At 40.3% G+C, this 26,430-nt stretch overlaps 1 protein-coding gene across 42 annotated transcripts in view, besides 1 other annotated feature; it reads left to right on the top strand.

The window, feature by feature from the left end:
• Window positions 1-26,430, top strand: part of DENND1A (DENN domain containing 1A) — a 550,469-nt gene that overhangs the window by 265,754 nt on the left and 258,285 nt on the right. For 41 of the 42 annotated variants that reach the window (XR_007061334.1, XR_007061335.1, NR_148208.2 and 38 more), the window contains one exon: window positions 12,250-12,360. Coding sequence is in view for 39 of the 42 variants with exons in the window: in NM_001352965.2 (NP_001339894.1) it covers window positions 12,250-12,360 (111 nt within the window). In the remaining 3 variants the exon portion in view is untranslated. Of the gene's footprint in view, window positions 1-12,249; window positions 12,361-25,334; window positions 25,651-26,430 lie in introns of those variants that run through there. The other variant, XM_024447623.2, reaches the window with a different exon arrangement.
• Window positions 9,005-9,505: an enhancer, noted in NCBI's record as "H3K4me1 hESC enhancer chr9:126417147-126417647 (GRCh37/hg19 assembly coordinates)". NCBI's record gives its function as "activates a minimal SCP1, AML or CMV promoter by ChIP-STARR-seq in naive H9 embryonic stem cells {active_cell/tissue: H9 hESC(naive)}" and the evidence as "EXISTENCE:reporter gene assay evidence [ECO:0000049][PMID:30033119]".

The raw sequence follows: 26,430 nt of genomic DNA, 5'->3' as shown, positions 1-26,430 counted from the left end.
AATAAATTTAAAGATTGTGAAAAGAGAAAATTTTCTAGAAAAAGACAAATGATAGTTGGCCTGAGAAATAGGCAATATGAATATAGAATTATAACTTGAAAAGATTAATAAAGCTCTATTTCAATCTCCATCCTTCAAAAAAATCTATCAGGTTTAGGTGGTTAAGGTGTTTCAGGAACAGATAATTATTACTTAAACAGTACCAAATCATAGGAAAGGTATGTATGTATGTGTATCACACAACAGCAAAAGAAAAATCAGGCATAATCTCCCATCTCAGAGATCTGTTTCTGAGTTTTTTCATCCTTCCTTTTTATGACATGTAGTTTTCAAAGTGTGCAACCGGGAACCCCAGTGTTGCTTTGGCAGCCCTGGAAGGCCTCACAGAGGTAGATGGCTAACTGATCAGAGCACTAGATCCCTGCTCCTATTTTATTCAGAGCAGGTTAGTTTCCACTGCTTACACTGGGGGTTGAGTAATACTTTGTTTGAGACAGAAGTATTCTTTTGGTTTTTTTTTTTTGTTGTTAAGTTTCAAAACTTACATTTTTAAAAGCACACAAAATGTACACACTTTATATCTGTTTTTCTTGTAACAATGTACGCTGAACATTTACCTGTGTCATTAAAAATTCTTTACAAATATTTTGTTGTAAAAGATTAATACTGATACATAGAGAAAAAAATGAAAGGCCCCCATTACCACCACCCCCTCCAACCCCAATCCCACTCTCCCTCCAACCCCAATCCCACTCTCCCTCCAGTGTTTGATGAAACCTTTCTCTAGGAATTTAGTGTTATGTGTAGCTATGAAGGAGGCTACTGAAGGATTATTTTAAAATGCCATGGGACATTTATAAGAATTGATCATGTACTAAATCACACCAAAAATTTCAAAATAGAGCATACTAAACTCTCACAGGTCACTCTTTTATGGCGGTGAACGAAAACTATAATAATAAATTAATTAAAGGTTTAAAAATATTCATCTATTTGAAATAGCAGTTGGATCAAAGATGATACAAATTGAAATTAGTTATTATTTAGAAATTAATGACAATGAGGACACTAAACAAGTACCTTAGGGATGTGGCCTGTGTGTGTTGTAGATGGTTTTTAAACATAAATATGATTCTATTCATACTTGTTTAGCAACTCATTTTTTAGTTTAATGTATTCTAAAAAGTGTTCATATCTACCTACTTCTTCCTTTTTAATGACATACTTATTTAGTGGTATTTTTACTCTTATGAAAGTAATGCATATTAATGGCTTAAAAACATGTAGTACTACATAGTTGTTGATGAAAACCAGCAATTTTCAAGTTGCCCAGCTACTTTCAAGTTTTTAGCAGCTGTGTTTCCCTCTGTATTTTTGAGTAACTTATTCATATTGCTAAATCTTATTTTTTTTCTGTTACAGATATCACTTATTGATTTTCCTATAGAAGATGAGAGTTTTGGTCTTTTACCACCTATAACACTCCCCACCCCGAAACACACAGAATAACGTTCTCTCAGTCACATATTTCCCCTCTCCCATTCTTTCTATACCTTTAGAAAATTTTTACATTAAATCAGAAGTTAATGTTTACATTTTAATGAGCATACTGAAGTAGTTAGTAGATTACCTTTCCTTTCTTATACAACTTTTTGTCACGTAAGCATTCTTGGGTTTCACATCTTCCTCATTCTTGATTTCACTCCCTCATTTTGGTGAGACATGCGCCAGTAGTTTTCTTGAGAAAGTGCTTGTTAGAGGCAACATTTTTAGACCTAGCATGACTAAAAATAACTCTCTTCTTCTTTTTTTGAGACAGTCTCGCTCTGTCATTCAGGCTGGAGTGCAGTGGCACAATCTCGGCTCACTGCAAACTCCACCTCCTGGGCTCAAGCGATTGTCCTGTCTCAGCCTCCCAAATAGTTGTGGCTACAGGTACACACCACCACACCTGGCTAATTTTTGTACATTTTAGTACAGATGGGGTTTCACCATGTTGGCCAGGCTGGTCTTGAACTCCTGACCTCAATTGATCCACCTGCCTTGGCCTCCCAAAGTGCTGGAATTACAAGTGTGAGTCCAGCCTCTTTATTCTTCTTTTGATAGTTTGACTGGGTATAGAACTCTAGGTTGGAAATTACTCTATCTTCCCAACTTTGAAGATGTTTCTCCACTGACTTCTAGCTTTGCTGTTGCAACTAAGAAGTCTCAGCCATTCCGATTCCTGTGATTTACTTATTGTAACCATCCTTTGGTGGTCCCTCCTGGTATCCTGAAATTGCAGTGATGCGCCTTGCTACGGGCCTGTTTTCATCTATTGTGCTGGGCACTTGGTGGTTCCATTTAATATGGAAACTCATGTCCTTTAGAGCTGAGAACTTTTCTTACATTATTTCTTTGAAAAAATATTCTTCATTTTTCTTTCTTTCTCTGGGGCCTCTATGATAGAATGTTAAAATATCCTGTGCTGATCCTCTAATTTTCTTGTTTTTTCTCTCCTATTTTCCATCTCTCTCTTTTCGTTTTCTCTCTACTTTCTTCAGCAAATCTTTCCATCTTTGGAAATTTACTTCTGCCATTATATTAATATTTTCACTCATCTGTGAGACTGTTATTTATAGATTTTAAAAAGTGTTCTTCTCCTCGTATTATTTTCCTGCTCAACATTCCTATCTTCTGTTTGTTTTATTCCTTAACTTTCACTGTAGAGCCTTTCCTCAAATGGCTGCCCCGTCACATTTAAGAGTGAGGCACTAAAAAGCTGGCTGAATGCTCTGTCAGTCATTTCTGGAGCTTGGAACTAGTGTGGCTATTTTGGGGGCAGTGGCCTCTCAAATATCAGTATCAGAATCTTTTTCTTTGGAGTTGGTCTGTTTTCTTTGCCTAGGTAGTGTATGCTTTATTATCAGTGTTCTGGAAGCTGAGTAGGAATGGTAGGTTATGACATGTCAGCATCTAATATGTATACCTTCGTTTAGTACTCATTTTCAGTGTAAGCCTTTATTGCCTGTCAAAGGCTTTATTGCCCGTCCTCAACTGTACCTGGTGTCACCAGGCCTTTCTGGTTCAGTTCTTCTAGAAAGTAAACACATATTCCTCTGGAGAGGTGTGGGAAAGTCTGTTAACTAGCTCATTGAGCTGGGAGAGGAGATCCTTGGGATTGAATTACTCCTATTTTTATTTGCACCCCGTCTCCTAGCCTTCAGAGATTCTGGGTGTCTCCAGTTCCTTTTTGGAATTCTTTTTGTGCTATGAGTTGGGCTGAATGCTCGGTGCTGTGCCTGCCCACCTTATCCGTAGCTTTAAGCTTTCCTTCTCAACCTCAGTCGCATGCTTGTCAGCTTGGGCCAGATCATTCTTTGTTGAATGGGGCTGTTTTATACATCGTAGGATATTTAGCAAGCATCTCTGGGCTCTACTCACTATATGATGGTAGCACATTCCCCTCCAGCTGTGACAACCAAAAATGTCCCCAGGCATTGCCAAATATCCCCTGGGGGACTAATGGCCCCAGCTTGAAAACCACTTCGTTAGTCACATCTGCTTTTTGGCTTTCAAAAATTTGATCTCTTTGTTCCATTACTAATTCTTCTCCTGTTTTTTGGCGTTTGTGCCTTTTAAAATTCTTTTACTTTGACTTTTTCTGGGAGGCTGGTATCAGGAGAGAGAAAAGATAAATGTATGTTTAATTCACTGTATTTAACTGTTTTAACTGTGCTTTTCCTACTAATAGACATTTACATTTTCTATAAATAATGTTATGATAAAAATGATTGCCTAGGTTAGGTTCATTAAAAAATTTTTTTTTTCTTTTAAGAATAAATAATTTCTTAAGAACTTCATTTTAAGGTACTTGGAAATTCTGATCATTTCTAATTTTTCAAAACCACAATTGAGATTAGGAAGTTTTTTTTTTTAAGTCTTCTCATAGCCTTACCTCCAAAGCCTGTCTGCACTGTATGCTACCTCTCCTGCCCCCACTATTTTAAAAATTTACATTCCTTCTGCTGGTTTTGCTACTAATGAACCAATTCCCTGTGCATGACCCATTGTCCCTAAATCCTCCTTTGCAAACCAGTAAAAGGCTAGCGTTGTTTGTTTCTAAGCAGAATGGTGATACCAATCTGCCAGACTCCTACCGTACATGCTTCCACTTTAATCCTTAGAGCTACTCCGAAAGGGGTAGACCTGAGCCCCGTTTTAGACAGGGAGCCCAGAGCTCACAGAGCTGAGGTGGCAAGGTCTGCTCGTAAGCACAGTGTAGCGACCCAGGTTTGTAAGCTTTTGTTCCTGTTGTACCCCACTGCCTCCCTGGAATTGATGTGTTCTATTCATGAGGAAAAAAAGAAAAGAAATGTTTTTTTAAATATATAGCAAATTACAAAATGAAGCAGGAAAGCCTTTCCTCTAAGGAGAATCTGAACTTTTGTAGGACCAATTTATGTGGTTTTTGACACAGAATCACTGTTGAGCTCTAGCAGTGTTGAAATTTGCATATTAATCTCTTGATGATTTTTCAAGGATTAATTTAAAATTACTAAATTGCTGCATTGCAAATTGAAACAAGCAGTAACTGTGGGGTTGTTAATCCTTTATGATCTGGTGTAGTGGAAAGAACATGAATTTTAGAGACAACCAGACTCTGGGCTTTGCTACCCTGGGACTTTGGGGCAATGTACTTATACTCTTGGAGCCTCTAGGTCCTTATCTACAAAAGGAAAATGTGAGAAACTCATGAAGTATTAAATGTAGCGTTCCAAGGACAATGTCTGGTTTGATGGAGATGCTGCTTTCAATGGTCTGTTTCTTTTTCTCCTTTTCTTGGCTCTCCCAGAATTCTAGTCTTAACCTCCCTTGAGATCTGAGTTGTGGCTGAGGGCTGAAGAACATTATTCTTGGAGCACATCTTTTCTAGATTTTTTTCATATTCATGGTTATGGAGATTAATTCTCTTCCTTTTATGGGGCATATATTTCATGGGGCCTTGAAAGTGTCTTAGCAGGCCCTTTTCACACCAGAATGTCTGAAGCTTGGAACTGGTGTGGCAGATGGAGCCCAGGGCTCCGCTGCCTGTAATATAGATGGTTTGTAAATATTTATTGATTATCTCCTCTAAGGAACATAAGCAACAAAAAGGATAAATAGGCTTTGGGATGTGGAACTTAATAATGTTCTATCACCAGATAATCCTGTTCTCCTGGACAGCTTCAGAGAAGTGTTAGTGTGCAAAAAGAGAGGAAGGAGCTGGTATTTATTGAGCATCCACTGTGGATCAGATCGGGCACTGTTTGTTATGTTATGAAATCTTCACAACAGCCTTATAGTATGGTTGTTATCTCTGTTCTGGAGAGGAAATGAAGCCCAGAGAAGTGAGGTAACTTGCCAAACCAGGAAGTGCTAAAACCAGGATTCACCCTTCAGTGGGTATGATCTGAGCATTGAGATGCTGCCTGGTCTGGGCCCTGGCTCCGTGGCTCTCTCTGCCCATCTAAGAAATTGCTCATCATATGTGTAAGTTATATAATTAATTGAATGAACGTTTGGTAAAATGTCCTCTCTCCTTCTCTAAGGACAGGGATCAGTATTTTTTTTCACAGTAGCACTGTACCCAGAACAGAATAGATGCCCAATATGTATTTATTGACTGAACGAATGACTGAATGAATGAATGAACATGTAGCCACCCCCAGGAGAAGAAAAAAGAACAATTCCTTTCAGTTGGCTTTTGGGCCAATTTGTCTGCAAGACATTAATGAAAAGCAAACTTAAAAAATTAATTCTTTTCCCTTTCAGATCCCCATTGAAGTTAATTCTCATTATTTCTACAATTTCTTTGTAAAAATATTTTCTTTCTTTTCACTGAAAAACTATCACTCTGTAATTGCTCATCAGGGTTTTCTCTGTCTATCAAGATAACACATGTAGGAGTGAATTTTATGCAGGCAATAATTAAATGAGCATAAATCTTTATAAATTTTAAACAGTTGACCTGCATTTAAAAAAAAGTCACAGATCATGAACAGTTATGTAGTAATAATTACATTGTAAACCAGCTATATAAAGGATTTTTTTTTAGTGTCCAGGTTTTGAAGTTTACTTTTGATTAATGGATAATCATATAGACCTTCATTTGGAATATTAAACAAACCTGTCTTAATTATCTCGTTGGTGTCATACCAAGTGGTTAATGATGCGAGGAAAGCAGTTAGAATGGACAGTTACATATAACATTGCCCAGACTCCACTTTGTCAAAAGATGCGCCATGATATAGAAAAGATTTATGAACTCATCATGACTTTCAAACATAAACAAAGTTGAAGTGGTAGTAGAAGACCTATTATCAAGAACTGCGATTATAGAGAATTCCATTGTTGCTCTTAAGAGTTGTCAGGTAATTGTTTATTCTAATGGTTTTTCTATTCACATGGAGGGATGAAAGTTGACCTCTGAGTAAACTCTGCTTTCCTTTCTAGAATACTCTTCTCTGATTTGATTGCTTATGTGAATTTCTGGGATTCTTTCTTAAGCAGATTGTTTTATAATCCAAATTTATAATTCCCTTTAAAGAATCCCTCCCAACTAAGGTTACCTAAATTCTTAAAAAAAAAAAATCAGTTGAGGGTTTTAAAAATTTTTATTATGGTAAAATAATTTGAATAGGAGTTATTTCAGTAAACAAGACCCACTGACAAAACCAAGCCTCTTGCCTTGGAAGCTGCCTTCAGACACAAGACAGTAGGTCTTTATCATGTGTACCATGTATGAAGTGGAAAGTCACAAAGACTAATAAAATGACAGACAGTGGGGCGGACTAGCATCTGTTTCGAAGGCTCCAAGGAGTACCCAGCTTAGAGTCAGTTCTTTGGTTTGAGGATTATCTCATTTCCCTAAGGTATTGAACCTAAGACGCTTTCTCTCTAAGCCCCACTATATCCCCTCCCATCCCCACCCCACTCCAACTCCCCCCATCGCCACCACCCCCACCTGCTTCGTAACCTCAGGCATGGATCACAGTGAGCCTCAAGTCCCCAGCCACCTGGATTGGTGCAGGAGCCAGCAGGGACAGCTAGAAGGGAGCAGCCATTATAAGGCTTCTCCTGGGAGGATGGGGGTTTTGCCAGGTGCCATTCCCTTTCTCTTTGTCTGGATTTAGAGCCACAGGGGGTTCGCACTTGACCTGACGCTTACCAACGTTTCTTTGCAGAGATGAGAAGTGGGAGCCAAGAGTCTAAGGAGCTTGTGCGTTGCAGGCTTCTTCTGAAGTGCACCTTGCAGGCTGCTCTGTCCAGAGACCTTCCTCAGATTTGAGCCCTTTCCAGCCTGGGTGGGGGATAGCTTTGTAGCTGTGCTACCCAGCCCTAGAGAGTGTGGCCAGAAGAGATGCTAGGTGGAGAGGCACATGCTCATGGGGACATAAATGTATGTGTAACTGAAATAATGTTTAAACTCCATGAGTAGGAAAGGAATATCCTCAAGCCTAAAAACTTACTGGCACTAAGAAAACCGAGACCTTTTGAGCACAGAAACTGGGAACTAGTCCTTGAAGCAAGGTTTTCCTTTCCAAGTAGGTGAGTCACACAGAGAAGTAATTGGCAGAGAATGAAGAAAGTGGTTACTTAGGCTCAGCCATGGTGGCATTACAGCCCAGGACACTAAGCCTAGGAAGAGGTGGCCAGGGACACCATGTTTGACAGAAATTATGGTGCTTTAGAAGGAGGATTTATCCTTTATTAAAAGAATGGACTCTCCCTTTAAAAACCTATTTGGGCAAGTAGACTAGTATGGTGCATAGTAATCTAGAAGTCCAGGGGTCACTTGAGATTTTTTTCTCCTTCCCTCCCCAAGTCTAATTCATCGTCAAGTCCTGTGATTCTACTTTATGGATATCCCTGACATCTACACCCAAAGCTTTTGTCTGAATTGGTTTTCTAATGTATATTTTAATCATTTCTTTCCCAGAATATGGCAGCAGCCTGTTAGTTGACTGTCCTGCCTCCTGTTTGCCCTCTTATCTGTCCTCCACAGAGTCTCTAGGAAGATTTTTCTGAAACACAAATAGGGTCATGTCAGGATCCTTCAGCACTGCCCTGTCCCTAGCTCCCCTGCCCCCTGCTCTCCCTCCCCGCCCTGCCTCTCACTCTCTTCCCTGCGTGTGCGCTCCTCTCCCCACCCTGTCTTTGCCTCTGCCTGGAATATGCTTCTTCCCTGGTCCACTGAGTGAACCCCTGTTTGGAGGCCCAGACCAAATGTCTTCTCTGTCACACTTTCTCCAGCCTTCCCCTGCATATCCGTCAAGGGGAGTGAGGCTTCTCAGCCATGCCTGGAGTGTAGCCTCAACCACGGTATGTTGCATACTGGATTTCTGAGTCTAATGTCCCTCCCACCCCAGAGTAAGCAGGAAGATGGAGATCACAGTTAGTTTATCTCTGCAGGCCTAGCTCCCAGGAGGGTGCTAGGCACATAGTAGGAGTTAAATAAGTGTGTGTTGATTGCCTGATTATAGGAGATAGAAATGAGAGGATGAGGATTTAGTCTGCAGGAGAAGCAAAGTGCTGGGAGAGTGGCTTATCTTGTGTCTTTTATCAGCAGAAGCTCATAACGTGTTCTGGCTGTAGTCTTGACTGAGGACAGCCTGCCGCGGAAGTCCTCCCTTCTATCCTCTGATCTTACCCATCGGAGAAATATGCTTGGCCTGGCTGTGAAATGAACACATGCTTCTGTGTACAGCCCTCACCCCAGTTACCTGATAAACCACTAATTTATTTACATTTTTAATACATGTAGCCACAGCTACCATGAAAAGTCACCCCTCCCTCCCTCCGCCATTCCCAGTTACTTACCGGTCTTTGTGTAGCTTCCAGTGGCAGTTCTTTTTCTGCGGGTTCTTCACCATTACTGAGTAATCAATTGCTTCATCTGGCTCAGAGCCAGGTTTTCTGGAGTCACATGCTACGTTCTTCCTAATGTCCCACCTGGTCCATCTTCTGGGCTGGTGCATTCCTCACTGCACTGTTCTCGCCTGAGTGAGGGACCAGCACCCTCAGCCATTGCTTCCTCCGTGCACCGAGCTTGCTGTCATCAAACTGCTGGATGATGGGAGAAGCAGCTTCACCTAACAGGACCCCGTCTCGTGGCAAAAACATACTTAAAACTGAGTTACTGTAAGATGGGGACAATGGAAGCATACAGGAGAACTTGACAAATGAATTGAGGAAGTCTCCCGGGAGGAGGTGACATTGGAGCTGGGCCTTGAAAAGTAAGCGGGTGTCCTCAAGGAAGAGTGGGGCATTCGAGGCAGAGGACACAGCAGGAGTAATTACAATTTCCAGGTATTTCACTCAATTGTCTCTCAGGACATGGCAGGCCTGAGAGAGTAAGGATTGGTGTGGCTGGGGGAGGGAGATTCCTGACTCCATGGGGCGTGCTTCTGAACTGAGGCTTGATGGGAACTGCGAGTGCTCCCTGCAGCTGCTCCTGGGGCCCCGCTCTGCCCCACAGGTGCTCCCACGGCTGAGCGAGGTTCCCAGGGCTGTTGGCACTCCCACCCACTCCCACCCGCTCAGGCGGGTGGCATCCCAGAAGGAAAGAGGCAGGGGAGGAAGCAGATAAGAAAGACAGCTTCTGTTTAGACACAAATATCTTGGTAATCAGCACAGATGGGATGAGAAATACCAAAAAAAGTACATGACAGTTTAGAGAGAATTTGGCTAAATGTTACGTATTTTTAACATACCTGTGTAGAGTTTTTGGAACAAGCACCTGAGTCCCTCAGAATCTGATTGGAGATGGGGGACATGCCTCAATCAAATGGTGTTTTTATTTCAGAAATGTTTCCTTCCCATCCACAAAAGTATCCTTGTGATTTTTTTTTCTCCCACCAAAATAAGGCGCAGGATTTGTCTCTGACGCTGTGTCTCCCTATTTGGACGGCAAGCTGTGTAACATATTTCTCCCCAGCGTGAAGCTTCTTGGCAGACTCTTGAGGCCACGTTTTGGTGGCTTCAGAGTTATCTTTGGATCTGTCAAAAGTGCTAATGGGCTTTCTGGCCTTCTTTAAGCTCCTCATTTCTATTTTCTTTTTACTTCCATCCTCTCCTAAAAGAAAAATTCATGTAATTCATCAGCAGTTAAGCTTTTTACTGAAATGCTCAGTGAAGGGCCTCATATTTTTGTTTGTGAGGAGAGCTGTGCCATGTCACCGTCTTCAGAGCAAACCCCACCCTTACATCATTAGCTCTGTGTTCCTCCGTCCAGTGGAGGAACCAAGATACACTGGTTGACTCCTTCCGACTGCCTTTGGTGTTTGCTGTTTTGTTTTTCACTGAGTTTGTTAAGAGGCAAGTTGGTGTGGTGGTTAGGGTATGAGTTTTGGATTGAGGAGATCTAGTTTTGAAACATGGCTCTCCCCTTTCTAGCTGGGTGACCTTTAGAAGTCTACTGAGACTTCCTGAGCCTCCAGTTTTTTTTTTTTTATTTCTCATCTATATAATGGAGATGATAATGCCTGTCTCAAGCTTGTTGGGAAGATTGGAAAGAACACAGGAAAAGCACCTGTTGCCTGCCACATACAGATCACTCCGTGAATGGGGTAACGGTAATTTTTAACAGAAGCATTTTCCTTTCTTTAGGCATACTTGATCTTGTTGCGTTTCTTTTTCCAAATATGAGTTTTACCTACAATTTTGTGTGGAATAAAAAGAGCATGGATTTAGAGACAGACCCACTCAGGACTGAATCATGTCACATCCACTTACTGCGTGACCTTTGTCAAATTACACAACTTCTCTGTGCCACTGTTTTCTCATCTTCGTAGAGGGATAATAATACTTAGTTCAAGGAACAGTTTGAAGATTAAGTGACATGTTTAATAATAGATGTGAATCTTTCAAACAATAGATGTGCATAAGAGGGACAGTGTTGTGTACGGGAAAGCGTATAGGCCATGGAGTCAGATCTGACTTTGCCAGTTGCTGACCTCTCCCAGACTTTATATTGGAAAGAATAACGCCTCACTGGATTTTTGTGAAGACTGCACAATTACACATCCACAGTGTCTGGTACAGTGGCTGGCACTTGATAGGTAGTTAGTATATAGAGCTGTTAATTCACTTGCTCTGTATTTATAAAGGTTGATGGTTAACTTGGTACTTCAGTCAAACAATAATAAATTATAAGATAAGTGCCCATTTTTACTCCCAGCCCATAATATTGTTGAAAAGCACTTTGTGCTATTTTGCATGTAAAATCCACCTGGTTTACTTCAATTTATGGGTTATAGATCTTTAATCATTATAAACTGCAACGCCTGGCAATAGCATTCCTTCCCTCCCAAACCCCTTTCATTTTCAGAGGATTATATTGTATGGCATTGAAAACCTGTAACATTGAAGAAATTAGCATATTCATGTGTATTATTAAAGTCAGGTGGGTATAGAAAGCGTTGTATAAATGAAACACATTCCATTTTTTTTCTGAAATCTGAAGAGTACCAATCTATAGTACTAATTAAAAGACTGAAGCCCAGGCTACAGGGGTGGAAAAAAGCTAGTTAAAACACTGCTTTGTCACAACTTGCTGCTGTTTGTCTTCAATTTTTTTTCCCCTTTTGAGTGAAATACCTGGAAATTGTAAATGTTCGAAATTGCCTTAATTCCAGCTGAGCCGTTTTAGCAAATGTAAACTGTGAAGGAGGGGATACCAGCAGTGATGACGGGAGAGGAGCTCGCCTGGCCTTCGTGGGTGGCATCTCCTGCACAGAAACAGGCTCAGTGCCAGAAGCATTTTGGTCCCTGGGTACTTTCTTTTGCTTAGGCGTATGGCACAGCACATCGGGAAGGTTCTAGGATCTGGGGCCCAAAGATTTGAGCAGCAGTCCTGTCTTCATTGCTTATTAGACTGTTCCATCTTGGAGAATCTCTTTGAGTCTTGGTTTCCTCATTTGTAAGATATGTAGAATTCCTGTTCTGCTCACCTTTAGGAACTGACCTAAGTGCTGGATGCGACCTCATGTTGTAATCACCACACAAAGATGTAATTGCTCAGGCTCCTTCCTCTGTAAGGTGTCTTCCAACTTTACCCTTCATGATTTTACACATGTGGGGATTTGGCCTCCCAGGTAGAAAGAAAAGGACAGGGAAAGAACAGAGTATACTTTCTGATTATTTTATGTTTCTTATGCTCTTATTAGATACAGTTATAATAAGAACAAAGAAAATCAGCCACAAACCGTGCCTTCTTCTTTCTCCTAGAGAAATCTGACAGAATATTTTGTGGCTGTGGATGTTAACAACATGTTGCATCTGTACGCCAGTATGCTGTACGAACGCCGGATACTCATCATTTGCAGCAAACTCAGCACTGTGAGTAGACAGTCTTAAGACTGGCTTTTTAATGATCTAATTTTAATTGAAAGATACACCAGCAAGATGAAAGAAAATTTTAGAAAAAGGAGTCAGCTACAGTCCCCTTATATGGCAGCATGTCATTTTCATTAATTGTTCATTTTTTTTTTTTTACAGTGCCAATGCACATTTCATTTATTCCTGTAGTCGCACAGTCAATTATAAATAGCTTTCCATTTGATTGTGTGTTATGAACATTTTGCAGGTTTCTACATGAGCTTCAATTGTCATTTTTTAATGTCTACACCATATTTCATGATACGGGTGTGTCATTATTTACTAAATCCTTCTCTTGATGGCCATTTAGGTTGTTCATTATGATTTAATCCTTTTAGTAGATAATACTGCAATGAACATCTTTTGGCTTCTTTTGACTGTTACAGTTATATTCTAAGGAGTGGGACACTAGGTCAAAGGGCTTGATAAGCGCTATGACTTAGGGACTGCCAAATTGCTTTGCAAACAGGCGGTGCTTGTTTACAGTGAAGGCTGCCAGCTGTAGATGAGTGCACCATTTTCACCGCAGCTTTGCCAGGAAAGAGAGAGAGTGTGTGTGTGCGCGCATGTGCGCACGTGTGTACGTGCATGTGCTCAGGTGTTTTAATTCTGCTAAGAAAGTAGATGTGCTATGGTATTTCAGGCTTGCTTTAATTTTAGAATTACCTCTTTGGTTAGAGGTAACTGAATATTTTCCATGGGTTTATTTTTTTATTTGTATTTTGTTAATATCCTTTCACATTTATTTTATAGGTGTCTTGATTTTTTTATTAATTATAATGAACTTTCTATATAACTTTTGCTGTGTGTATAATATAAATATTTTTATATTCCTTTTATTTTAGTTTTTCACTTGCTAAGTATGAGTTCACATTTTCCCCAATATTTTTTATGAAAATTCTTAAGCCATTATAGAAAGCTGAAATAATTTTACAGTGAATGCTGATATACTTCCATCTAAATTCTACTAGTGACATTGTATCAGTTGCTTTATCATGTATTTATTCAACTATTTATCATCCATAGCATCCATTAATCCATCTTTTTTTTTTTTTTTTTTTTTTTTTGAGACAGAGTCTTACTCTGTCACCCAGGCTGGAGTTCAGTGGCACTATCTCGGCTCACTGCAACCTCCACCTCCCAGGTACAAGTAATTCTCTTGCTTCAGTCACCCAAGTAGTTGGGGTTACAGGCACATACCACCTCACCCAGCTAATTTTTGTATTTTTAGTAGAGATGGGGTTTTGCCATGTTGACCAGGCTGGTCTCGAACTCTTGACCTCAAGTGATCCACCCACCTCAGCCTCCCAAAGTGCTGGGATTACAGGTGATCCATCTTATTTTTTATGCATTTCAAAGTAAATCACAGGCGTCACTTTACTTTCCCCTAAATAATTCAATATCTGTTTGCTGAGTTTGTTGTTGTTTTTGTTTGTAGACAAAACTTATATACAGAAATTGACTGGGAGTAGAATGCCTAATAGGCATCCCTCTGTTAGAGAGAGTAGAAAAATATTTTTATAAGTGGAGAGTTCCCTAATGAAGGGCCTATGGATAAAATCAAGTTATGTGTTTACTTATGAATAAAAGGCACCTAATAATGAAAACTCTCTGAGACTACTAGAGTTTTCCTTACAGTTTTTATTATACCTTCATTATTTTATTATTTCTTTGGTTATTGATTGCTCATCAAGAACTCAGTTTTTTTTAATTGCCTAGTATGTGTTAAGAATAGCCTATAGTAGACCTCTTGCTTTGTTTTACATTTTATTTTACACCATACGTGCAGTTCATAATTTCAGGGCACAAACACCCAGACTGAGTTTCAGAATGAGAATATTGTCAACCACATCTATCATCACCTCTTTGAAAGAGTCTAGTCCATAACCAGTTACTGTTGCTTTAGATTATTAAATTTCAGTCAACAAAAACATGACATCGTCTCAGTGGAAATGAATTCCTTATCATTTAATCATGATGTTTTTGATCCCTTACTGTGTGCCATGCACTGTCCTAAGCACTTTTCATGTATGAACTCATTTAATCCTTACTACGACAGCCTTAGTGGGTTCTGTAATTACTTCCATCTTATAGATAAGGAAGAATGAACCTTCTGTGTGATTTTGCTCTCATAAATGTGGTGGATTAAACACACAAAATTATTTCTGCTTCCTCCCAAAACTAAAATGAAATAAAGGAATAAATCTACAAACACAAAAAACAGATGCAGCAGGAATTTTTAAAATAGTAAGAAAATACTGTTAGCAACTTTATGCCAGCATTTGAAAACTAAGGCAAAATAGAAGAAAATAGCTTAGCAAAGTTGACTCCCGAAGAAATATAAAAATTAAATAGGTTATTTAACTTACAGAAATTGAATCAATATCTTTACATATTTTTCCAGATAAAACACTCATCCCAGGGGGTTTTACAAGTGTGTTTTATCAAACATCTCAAGGAAAAGATTATTTCAGTCTTAGACAAACTCCTTAAGAGTCTAGAACAAGAGGAAATGAAACCCAACTTTTCCTGCGACACTTGTATAACCTTGACATTCAACACAAAGACTGCACAAGAAAGAAAAATTAGCAGCCAGTGTCACTCATTAATGTAGGGGTAAAAATCCTCAATTAGGAAGCAAATGATTGATGATACTAGAAAATCTATTAATATAACTTACATATTGACATATTAAATGGGAAAACTTTTATGGTCCTCAATAGAGGGATGGAAAGCACTACCATGTTTATGAATAAGAAGACCTGATATCTTGAAGATGTTATTTCATTTCAAAATGATGTATAGATTGTATACAATTATATTCAAAACCCCCATAGGGTTTTACATAGTACCTGACGAGCTAATTCTAAAATTAATATGGAAAAGCCAGAGAAAGAGCCACAACATACTTGACAAAAAAGAATGGGTTGCGGAAGCTTGCTTTACCAGATATCAAAACTTTCTATAAAGCTGTAGTAATTACGATGCTAGTAATGGGATGAGGATACACATATGGGCTGATGGAACAGAATAGAGAGCCCAAAAACAGATCACATGTATATGGGCTCTTTATTTTATAAAAGGTGGCATTGTAGCATCTCTGGGGAATCAATAATTGGCTGTCCACATAGGAAAAAAAAGGAAGACCGTTTCTATTGTACACACACAAAAATAAATTCCAAATGGATCAAGAACTTAAATGTGAAAGGCAAAATTTAAAAACATTTAGAAGACAAAATAGAATAATACTTGATGATCTTTGGAGTAGAGAAAGGCTTATTTAAAGGTGGTCCAAAATATACATTGTATAAAAGAAAATATTAAAATCGTGAACTTTTATTCATTAAAAGATACTTTTCTCTGACTGAAAAGTCACAAGCTGAGATTTGCCATATAAAAAAACTGACAGAAAATTAGTATCGGAAATAAGTACAGAACTATGACAATTAAAAAGAAGACAAGCCTGTCAATGGAAAAATTGGCAAAAGGCATGAATTAGCATTTCACAGAAGAAATACAAATGGCCAACATCTGTATGGAAAGATACTCAACCACATTAGTAATAATCAAAAAGCACATTAAAACTACAGTGATTATGGCTGGGCACAATGACTTACACCTATAATCCCAACATTTTGGGAGGCCAAAGTGGGAGGATTGCTTAAGGCCAGGAGTTCAAGAACAGCCTGGGCAACACAGTGAGAGCCCTGTCTCTACAAAGAAAATTAAAAATGAGCGTGGTAGAACGCGCCTGTACTCCTAGCTACTAGGGATGCTGAGGCGGGAAGATCACTTGAGCCCAGGATCATGGCTTTGCAGTAAGGTATGATCATACCACTTCACTCCAGCGTGGACAACAGAGTGAGACCTTGTCTCTGAAAAAACAAACAAAACCAGCAGTGAAACACTAGGTTTACAAAAAATTTCGTGGCTGACAAAGCCAGGTGTTATATTGGAAATGTATTAGAGAATGTCATTTACTACTATTTGAAGGGTATGTGCTACAAAACTATTTACGTATGCCCATCACTCAGCAATTCTACTCCTAGGTGGAATTTTGTGGGTATACACACACCCCTTGGTCATGTATGGTAGGATATATGTATAAAAATGTTCACAGTGGCTTTTTTTAGGTTTTATTTAAATCCTGGAAATAGTTCTCATGACTACCAACAGAGAACTGATAGGCCGTGGTGTAGTCACACAGTAGAATATCGATCGGATCAATGAAAATGAACTGCACTATCAATATGATTATGTCTCTAATGTAGAAGCTGAGTGAGGAACTGGGTTGCACAAGGATATACTGTTCAGTATGATTTCATTAATATAAAGTTCAAGCTAGAAAAACTAAATGGTATCTTGTTTAGGGATTCACACAAACTACAAAGGTAAAAAGAAATAATTAACACAAAATTTAGGTAATGGTTTCCTCACAGGGAGAGAAAAGACTGGTTTGGGAAGAGTCATACAAGGGACATCAAAAGTTTTGCTTTCTGTCTTAAGCCAGGTGAGGAACTAACACATTTTGCTATAAAGGGTCAAATAATAAATACGCCTTTGCAGGTCATATGGTCCTTGTTGCCACTGCTGGGCTCCAACCTTGTAATCGAACAGAGGTAAACTAAGTGTATGATTGTGTGCCAACAAAGCTTTATTGCCAAATACAGGCAGCAGGCCAGGCTTAGCCTTTTCACTGTGGTTTGCTGGCCCCTGAGCCAAGGTGGTAGGTTTGGGGTTCTTACATTTTTTTTTTCTTTGAAAGTTGTTTATATGACATACATACTTAATATAATTCAAAATTTTTTAGAGGCCTAAAAAGAAGGTACAAAGCTCCTTTATCATGAGATTTTAGAGTATCAGGGATAGAGACAAAGCAGTTCTTGTACAAAGATTAAGAATCAACATTGCCTGAGATTTGGCAGTGGCAGTTCTGGAAACCAGAAGACAGTGAAGCAGTGTCTTGACCTTCTAAGGGAAAATGATTTCTAACCTAGAATTCTATACCCATCTAATGGAAGCCCTCAGGAGAGAGTGCCAAGATCCCACACCACTTTGCTCAGCTTCCTGGGCCTGTACTCCTGGACTCTGCATTCCCTTTGTGGATGAACCGTCTGTCCTCTCTGAGGCCAGTCACTCTGCTTGTCCAACTTACTTCATTCTGCAATATTTATCGTGACATTGCCATAGGCACTGGGGATTACGGCAGTGAACAAAACAGGCAACAATCCCTGTCCTCATGAAGCTTGCATTCTAGTATCATAGGTCCTCGATAAGTCAGAGGAGTTAAATATCTCGTACGGTAGGAAATGGAAAGTACTAAGGAGTAAAATAAAGCCGAAGAGAGCGGATGGGGAGTGGAGAGTGGCAGGGATTGCAGTTTTAGGTAGATGGCCTCAGAATGCCAACAGGAAAGGCGACACTGTGGTTTCCTTCAAGGAAATTACTCCAGCAGTAAGCAAGCTCTTCTCTCCTGCATCTATTATTATTTTCTCTTCTCTCCTGGCACATTCTTATGAGCATGCCAACATGCTATAGAAGCTCCCAGACTTCAAAACAAAACTTTCTTGACCCGTATCCCCTTTATCCCATTTCTAGTCTCCCTTTCAGAACAGAATTCCTCAAGAGAGTTACCTATTTACTAATTCCTCTGGTCTCATTCTCTCCTCAGTCTTCCATTAGGATTCAGTCCCCACCTGTCCACTAAAACAGGTGGACTTGTTTTAGTGTCTTTTTCCAGTCACCAGTGACCTCCTTTGAAGTAAAATTAAAATGAGTTAATACTTGCATAGCTCTCAGAACACAGCCTGGTACGTAGCTTTTGCAGACGTTTATAATAAATTAATAAATTCTATAATGGGAAATCAAATTTTATTGTCCAGTTTATTAAGGGCCTACCCTACTGGAATGTAAACGTCATGAAGACAGGGATTGTTGCCCGTTTCCTTCACTGCTGTGCCCCCAGTGCCTGTGGTAACACCACGATAAATATTTGTGGAATGAAGACAACCGGATAAGCGGGGTGACTGGCCTCTGAGAGGATAACAGTTCATTTGCAAAGGGAAGGCAGAATCCAAGTCTTAATGTGGAAAATGTGAAACCAAGAATTCGTGATTTAGAAATAAGGAGATAAATCCTGTGTTGAATGTGATTACTTCGAGTGAAGGGTGTAAGAAGAATGGTGAAGTGGACTGTTCCTTTTCATGATAAGCCTTGACTACTTTTTGTTTTGTTTTGAAATCTATGAATATGTATTACTATGACTTTTAAAAGGCTTTTCTTAACAAAGAGTTGATTCTTAACTGGGTTCGAAGTTTCATGGATTGCTGGTAGAAGCTTCTCTGGAGGAGGTGGGGTTCTCCTTGTATGTCACGTGCAGTTGGCAGCATCCTGAGAGGTTCTGCGGAGTTTGGGGATGACGTAGCTGAGCAGACTTCTGTTGTATTCACACCTTTGGACCTCTTCAAATTCAGAATTTGAAAGTTTCCCAATTGTTGCCTTTTATTTCCTTAAGAGTGGCTTTTTATTATCTTTTAGATGGGGGCTGGTGCGGAGGGGGATATGCAAAGGCCATCTCAGCCTGAGATTTTTTGAGGAACCTCTCTTGACAGATCCTGATGTGGCCTGCAATACTTGACAAACCACATTCTTCTCAATTGTGTTTGATAAGATGGAGGCTTAATGCTCCTCAGAGCCACCAAGCACATGAAAGATAAAAGCTGTCTAGCACTCGAGTGCTGTCTTCTATAAAAATGGCTGTGTCAATAGAGACAAACTCAACAATATTTAGTTCAGAGGCAGGTAATATGCATTTCGGGGTTTCTCGGTCAATAACATTGTGATATTCTGTATAAGAAAAATGTAAGTTTTTGTTCTCTTTGCTCAGTTAATGTATATTGATTGTTTTCCTTTATAAATGATAAATAGGGAAGGCTTAACTAAATCTTGTTCTCTAATGTAAATACTTCAGTGTGATTCCCTGTAGCACAAAGGCCCCATTTTTCTTCCATATTTTCATATCTGAGCTTAATTCATACTGCTTTTTGGAACTCTATGGAGAGCAAGTAGGTCAAAGATCTTAATAGAGATAATACAATTCCATCAGCATTCCTAGAAGATAGATATTATTCCCATTTTACAGAACAGCCAGTCCATTTGGAAAGGCGGAATAACTTGCCCAAGGTCATGTCCTAGTCAATAGGAGAGGTGGCCATGAATATAGGTCGTTATGATGCAGTGTCAGGGGAAGGAGGCTTTGGCTTCTGGAAAGGGAGAAACATCAAGGGATTACACACAAACTAATCGTAGCCCCTTCGAAGTGCATGCCTGGGAACCAGGTTATGTCTATTGGGTGCCATTACTTAACACCATTTTCCAGTCCCTTGTGCGGGAACTGTCACAGGAGCCAGAGGCATGTTGTTAGGAATAGCCACCCCACTAAAGGAATTTGAAAATTCTTGTAAAGAGCCAAAAAGATACCCTGAGCCAAATCTGGTGGATAAGGTAACTAGTGGAGCTAGGTGCTGTTGGTTTGGGTGAAAAATAAGACCTGATTGTATAGTACTTAGAGGTTTTTTTTTTTTTTTTTTTTTTTTGTAGCTTGTAAAGCTCCAAGACCACTAAAGAGCATTCACAGAATAAATGTGTAAGAATATCCTTAAGTAGATTCGTCCTCAGTACTTTATATGGGAGCCCCGCCGTTCTCCCCCACCCTTTTAAAGTTCTTTTAAGTTAACCTTTTGAGCCATCCATTTCCTATATGACAGGCACTATGCTAATCATGTATGTGATCATTTTTTTCATTCGTTCTTGCAGCAACCCTAGGAGCTTGTGGGTTTTCTTCTCCCTTTGCAGATGGGAATGTTAGCACCCCCGAAAGTTGATGTGCCTTGTCTAAGATGAGCAGCAGAGATGGAATTAAAACCAGGCCAGCATCCTTGCTGCCTCATACTTCCTTCTTGGTAACTCTTCATTGTCATGAATTCCCTGTGACACTTGTACTTAGAGAAATATTCTTAGCATGACCCTGTTGGCCATGGATCTAAAATAATATAAAGAACCTCTGCCTGGTCGTCGTCACCTTTGAACGCACACCTAAGCTTTTTACTTCAGATTCGGCAAGCCCTGTCTGTGCGCCTGACACTACTCTAGGCACCAGGAAACAGGAGGCAGATCTGTGAATTCCCATTGACACACCCAGTCTGTTAGCCACAGCTCCATTTCCTTAAACACTTCAGATTCCATTCCGTCTGCCCATGCCTTCTTAGACTTGGCTGTCTCCCAGCAGCTCCTGCACCCTATTCCTACCATGAGTGCGGCCTTGGTGGAGCCCTGGGGCGTATCTTCTGTAACTCACTGTGGTTTCAGGGTTCATATATTGCAGCTATGTATCTTTGTCCTATATAATAAAGAATAAAGAACCTTCCAGGGTTCATATGTTGCAGTTCCTTCGAGCAGTGTATCTTGGTCCTAATCACCCCCTTTATAATTTAGGGATACTGAAAGAAATTTGGACAACTAAGAATATCCAGTTAAATAATGACAAAGGCATATTTACTTTCCTGAGAAACATCTATTTGTTTTACCCAGCGGATGCTTTTCAGAAGGAAATATTGTATGGTGGCAAGACCACGACCTAATTAGCCTCTACACCCATAACCGAAAACCATTATTACTTTTCTGATGGTATCTCATTGAAGGAAGACAAAAAAAATAAACTGGCACCCTCTCTCTGTCAGTTTCTTCCTAACTGCGTCAACAAAAATTAGTCCCCAGGCATGTGGGAGCTGGGCAGGACCGGGTACCCTGTGGCCTGAGGAGTGGTGGGTGATACTTCCATCTCCCCACCAGCACACAGTCTGGTCCTTAGGAGATGTTTCAGTATTCGAGTGGAACATGGAGACTTTTCCAGCCTTGCCCCAGTCCTGTTCCACCACTCCCACCGACAGCATCCATTGTCTGAGTACCATCTGGTCTTGAGCCCTAAGAAAGGGCCAGTTTGTGGACTGGGCAGCTTTTCAGATTTGGCTTCGTTTTTGCTACTTTCCTGACGAACGCCACCTTGTCATGTTGACGCCAGCCTGTGTGATGAGCTGAGCACCTGAATGATGTGTGCAAAGCTTTCCTAGCTCTTCTGGACTAGAAAACACTAATCCTGTTTGCTTATCTGCCGCCCTTGAAGCAGAGATGAGAGTGGCAGTTGAAGGAGCTTTGAAATCCTGGAGCAGAGCCAAGGCCTCTTTGCCTGCACACTCCACTCTGCATGTTCCAGCCGTAGGAACAAACTGCATTATTTTGTTTCAAACTGTGCTCAAGGGAAGCCAAGACCTTGTAACTGGAAACTTACCAAACAGAGAATTCTAAGACTAAATTTAGTGTTCTATTTAAAAAATAAAATAAATCGAACATTGTGTTTATCTTTTATATGTTAAAAAGGAGAGAGAGTAACCTAGTTCACACTAACAACCTGAGAAGAGTATTCAAAGAAGTGAGAAGAAAACTAATCCTTTTGGTGAAGAGGGAAATCCTTAAGAAATTATAATGAAGTGGCATGGAATAGAGGCTTTGCAGCCAAACTTCCAAGCAGCACAGCCTCTCTAATCTCCGTTATATACAATTTTATTGTGGTCCAGAGAATATTTAAAACTGTTAAAAAATAAAGGAACTTCCATGGACAGAAAGTAGGAGAGAAGATTGGTGGGTTTTACTTATACGGGCATTCTCTGGCTTTAAAATGTATAGATAATTAATTGCTTGTTGAACTATATTCTTCATTTAATTATGTGTGAATTGGTTTTCTCTTATTCATGTTAAACTCTAATTGGAATGAAGAACCTTGAGATACCATAGAGACTCTGTAATACAGAGTATCAACAGGTTCATTTGTGACACTTTGATGTGACTTCAACCAGCCATGGTCTCTCTGCTAGCTCTTACCTTCCTCTCCTGCCTCTTCTCCCATTGCTTCAACAAACATCAAGCACTTTGGATGAGGCACAGGATTCAGATTGTCAGTGATTCCCCAGTTCTGATCCATGGATTAGCATTATGTTAGAACCACCCAGAAAACTTGTTAAAATGCAGGTTCTTGGGCACCATCTCCAGACATTCTGGTTCACAAAGTCTAGTATGGAACCATGGAATGTGTATTTTTTGAGGTTCCCCGGATGATTGATACACAGCCTGATTTGGAACCAGTGAATAGACAGTTCTCTAAGACAAAAACAATATTTATTCTTTGGTGGCTGTTATTTTGCATCGTTAGACTCATTTTCATGTTGAGACGACATAATAGAGACTGATCAAGTTCATTTAGAAGATGTTTATGCGTACCGACTGGCACTTAAAAAGCTCTTTGTTTCCATATTCTCTTTGGGAGAGCTTTGACTGGGGCCTTGGCTAGTCTAGAAAAGGACCATAGCTGAGTATAATCTGTTCAGGCTCTCAGTAATTTTACGGAATACCAGTGCAGTCCACCGGTGTAATTTGGGGTGCATGTGTGTAAACAGGTGATGTTTCTTTTTTTTTTTTTTTTTTTGCCATTTCATTAAATTCATCCGATTTCTGCCATGGCAGAAAATTTTATTATTTTAGTAATGCGGTCAAGTCATGAAATAAATTGTGTCTTCCTTAGATTGCAGGACTGATAGCTTCTCATATGACTCTTATGAATCAGAATTTTAAAGAATCAGAATTTTAAAGGATAATATTTAAGTCATTGACATCTTAATCTACTTAAAAAGCCCTGCACCCACTTTGGCAGACATGGCTGTCATAAAAGAAATTTTGAGCGCCTACTAGGTGCTTATGACACTGGGAGCAAGGACTCATAATTTCCTGTGTTGTTTCTGCAGACTGAAAGTGTGGTCACTTTGGTGAACCAAGGTAGTGTGATATGAGGTTAGACCATGAAATCATCGGTAAGTGCAGACACGGAGCACATTCACATTTGTTCTTTTCTGCTACCTTGATAGCTTCAGAGTCTACCAGCTAGATGTGTCAGACAGCCCTGCTGGAGGTATCTTTTCCCAAGAAAAAAGACAGCAGGAGTGGAGGAGAGAGTATCAGACTGCAAGTCAGGATGGCTTTGTTCCACTTCTGCCTCCGCCTTGTACTTAATCCACCATGTGCCACTTTCTAGCCATATGGCCTTGGGCAAGTTACTTGACCTCTTGGAGTCCCTCTGTCCTCTTCTGTGAAAATGGGGATAGTATTCACACCTACCTCAAGGTGGTTAAAAAGATCCGGTGACCATCCAGATATGAAAGCACAGAGCCCAGCACTGGGCGCACTATTCACTCTGTAAATGTTACCTGAGGCTGAATCTCATCCTTGCAGGCCATAAACCCCGATTTGACTCTCAGAAACAAGGAGAGCGATAAAGATCCTAGGAGACTTCTGAATATTAGGATCGTCGTAATAGCAGATAGGGAGTGAATCCAAGCAAAACAGAATAGTCACGGCAACTCCCAAGAGGTTTTGCGTACGGACCACTTCTCCCTAGTCATTTAGTCATTGAATAAATGGTCATTTCTCATTCAAGTCCTCACAGAGCTTGAGTGGCCTAAGAAGCTGCTGTGTTCTCTTGACCCACCCTTACCCCCTGACTGGCCTGTAGCTGGGAGGAGGACTAGCAGCTTCTCTGTCTTCAACCTTCAGGGCTCTGATGTCTCTGTCTCTGTGAAGCAGGCCTGATTCTTGCCCCAGGCAGAATTAATGATTCTTTCTTTATATGCTAACACACTTGAACCTCTATTATAGCATCTCTTTCATAATGCTTTTGTGTGGAAGTTGATTGTTTGCATTTTGATCTTTCTCTCTCTATTTTAAATTGCTTGAGGGCATGGTGTGTGCACATAGTGGATACTCAGTAATTGTGGGATTAATATAGATCAGAGCACAGAAGCAGTTTCATGGGGGCTAAGAGCACAGAATCCAGAGCTCAACTTCCCTAGGTTCATATCCTAGTTCTGCCAATAGCTGTGACCTTATACAGGTTCCTCAACACCCAGGAGCCTCAGTTTCCTCATCTATAAAATGGGGACAATAATGCTACCTACCTTATAGGGCTGTTGTGAAAATTAAGTGAGTTAAATATATGTGAAGCACTGTTCTCAGTGATTGGCAGATAGTAATGTGAATTCAGTGGTCATGGTGGTGGCTGTTTTTTGTTTTTGTTTTTTTTTTTTTTTTTTTTGAGATGGAGTTTCGTTCTTGTTGCCCAGGCTAGAGTGCAGTGGCGAGATCTTGGCTCACCACAACCTCTACCTCCCGGGTTCAAGTGATTCTTCTGCCTCAGCCTCCCGAGTAGCCGAGATTACAGGCATGTGGCACCATGCCTGGCTAATTTTGTATTTTTAGTAGAGACGGGGTTTTTCCATGTTGGTCAGGCTAGTCTTGAACTCCCAACCTCAGGTGATCTGCCCACCTCAGCCTCCCAAAGTGCTGGGGATTACAGGCGTGAGTGTGGCTGTTTTATAGCTTGAATCTTTCTTCTGAGGTTTTTTTTTTTTTTTTTTTGGTAGGGGGTTGGGGGGATACGGAGGCTCATTCTGTTGCCCAGGCTGGAGTATAGTGGGGTTATCTTTGCTCACTGCAACATCTGCCTCTCGGGTTCAACTGATACTCGTGCCTCAGCCTCCCAAGTAGCTGGGACTACAGGCGCCTGTCACCACACCCAGCTAATTTTTGTATTTTTTGGTAGAGAAAAGGTTTCACTCTGTTGGCCAGGCTGGTCTCGAACTCCTGACCTGAAGTGATCCGCCTGCCTTGGCCTCCGTAAGTGCTGGTATTACAGGCATGAGCTACCACCTGCGGCCTACAGTCACTTTCTAAGGTTAAATTTGCCAAAGAAAACTACAGGGAACAGTCCTTTTTCTTTTTCTTTTTCTTTTTTTTTCTTTCTTTCTTTTTTTTTTTTTTTTTTTTTTTTTTTACTACTCATGCAAATTTAGTAACTCACCACCTGAAGGTTCCTTAGTTTCTTCATGTGTGGGTACCTGACAGATAGGTACTCACGATTCCATGTTCAGTTATGCTTTCTTTTTAAAAGTATGATTCTTTATTAAAGCAATAGTATAGATCCATTAGCTAAACATAAATTATGATTTATATTGTCAAAGAAATAGAAATATCCACTTAGACTAGATTTGAGGTGGCAAATCGATTTCTTCTTGAGTGCCCACTTTGATCCATTGATCAAAGGTGCATGTGAGGCTGGGCATGGTAGCTCACACCTGTAATCTCAGCACTGTGGGAGGCTGAGGTGACCTCAAGTGTGAGGTCAGGAGATCGAGACCAGCCTGGCCAACATGGTGAAACTCCGTCTCTACTAAAAACACAAAAATTAGCTGGGCGTGGTGGCATTCACCCAGCTACTCGGGAGGCTGAGGCAGGAGAATCACTTGAACCCAGGAGGCAGAGGTTGCAGTGAGCCAAGATTGCACCACTGCAACGCCAGCCTGGGTGGCAGAACGAGATTCTGTATAACAACAACAACAAAAGTGCATGTGAGGAAGGATTGTGGGCCACATCCCGACTCTGTGATCAGTTAGTAATGTCTGTCACAGATATGGCTTGGAGGAGTGGTGGCACATTGGCTGTCCCTGTATTGAATACATTGTTATCAGTCCCCCATGTAACCCTGCCTTTTTCTTTTTCATCTTAAAGAGGAAAGAAAGCTCTTTCCTCACTCATGGTGCTGTGGGCTTATTTACAGTGTGGTTTACCACACCATGGTTTTCTGCTTCTGCTTTGGTAGCTAAAGCTTTTCTCTGGCAGTTTTAGTTGCTTTGATGTTTTAAAGTGTCAAATCTTGGCATGAAAGCTTGTTGCCCCGGTTAATAACTTACTCTAATTACTCTAGTAGATAGCTTTAAAAAAAAATGGAGAGAAGTGATTAAGCAGGCGGTTGATTGCCTGTGTAAGCTTCCTCCTGACTAGGTGATATTGCTGTTGGGGGAAGACGCTTTCCTTCACTCCTTGTTGGGTGGTTTTTTTGGTGTGTGTGTGTGTGTGTGTGCGCGTGTGTGT

The sequence above is a fragment of the Homo sapiens genome, chromosome 9 (genome assembly GCF_000001405.40).
Source record: "Homo sapiens chromosome 9, GRCh38.p14 Primary Assembly".
In the NCBI taxonomy this organism is placed as follows: Eukaryota; Metazoa; Chordata; class Mammalia; order Primates; family Hominidae; genus Homo; species Homo sapiens.
Note: the sequence above shows the minus strand (reverse complement) of the source record. Positions and strands in the feature narration are given on the sequence as shown.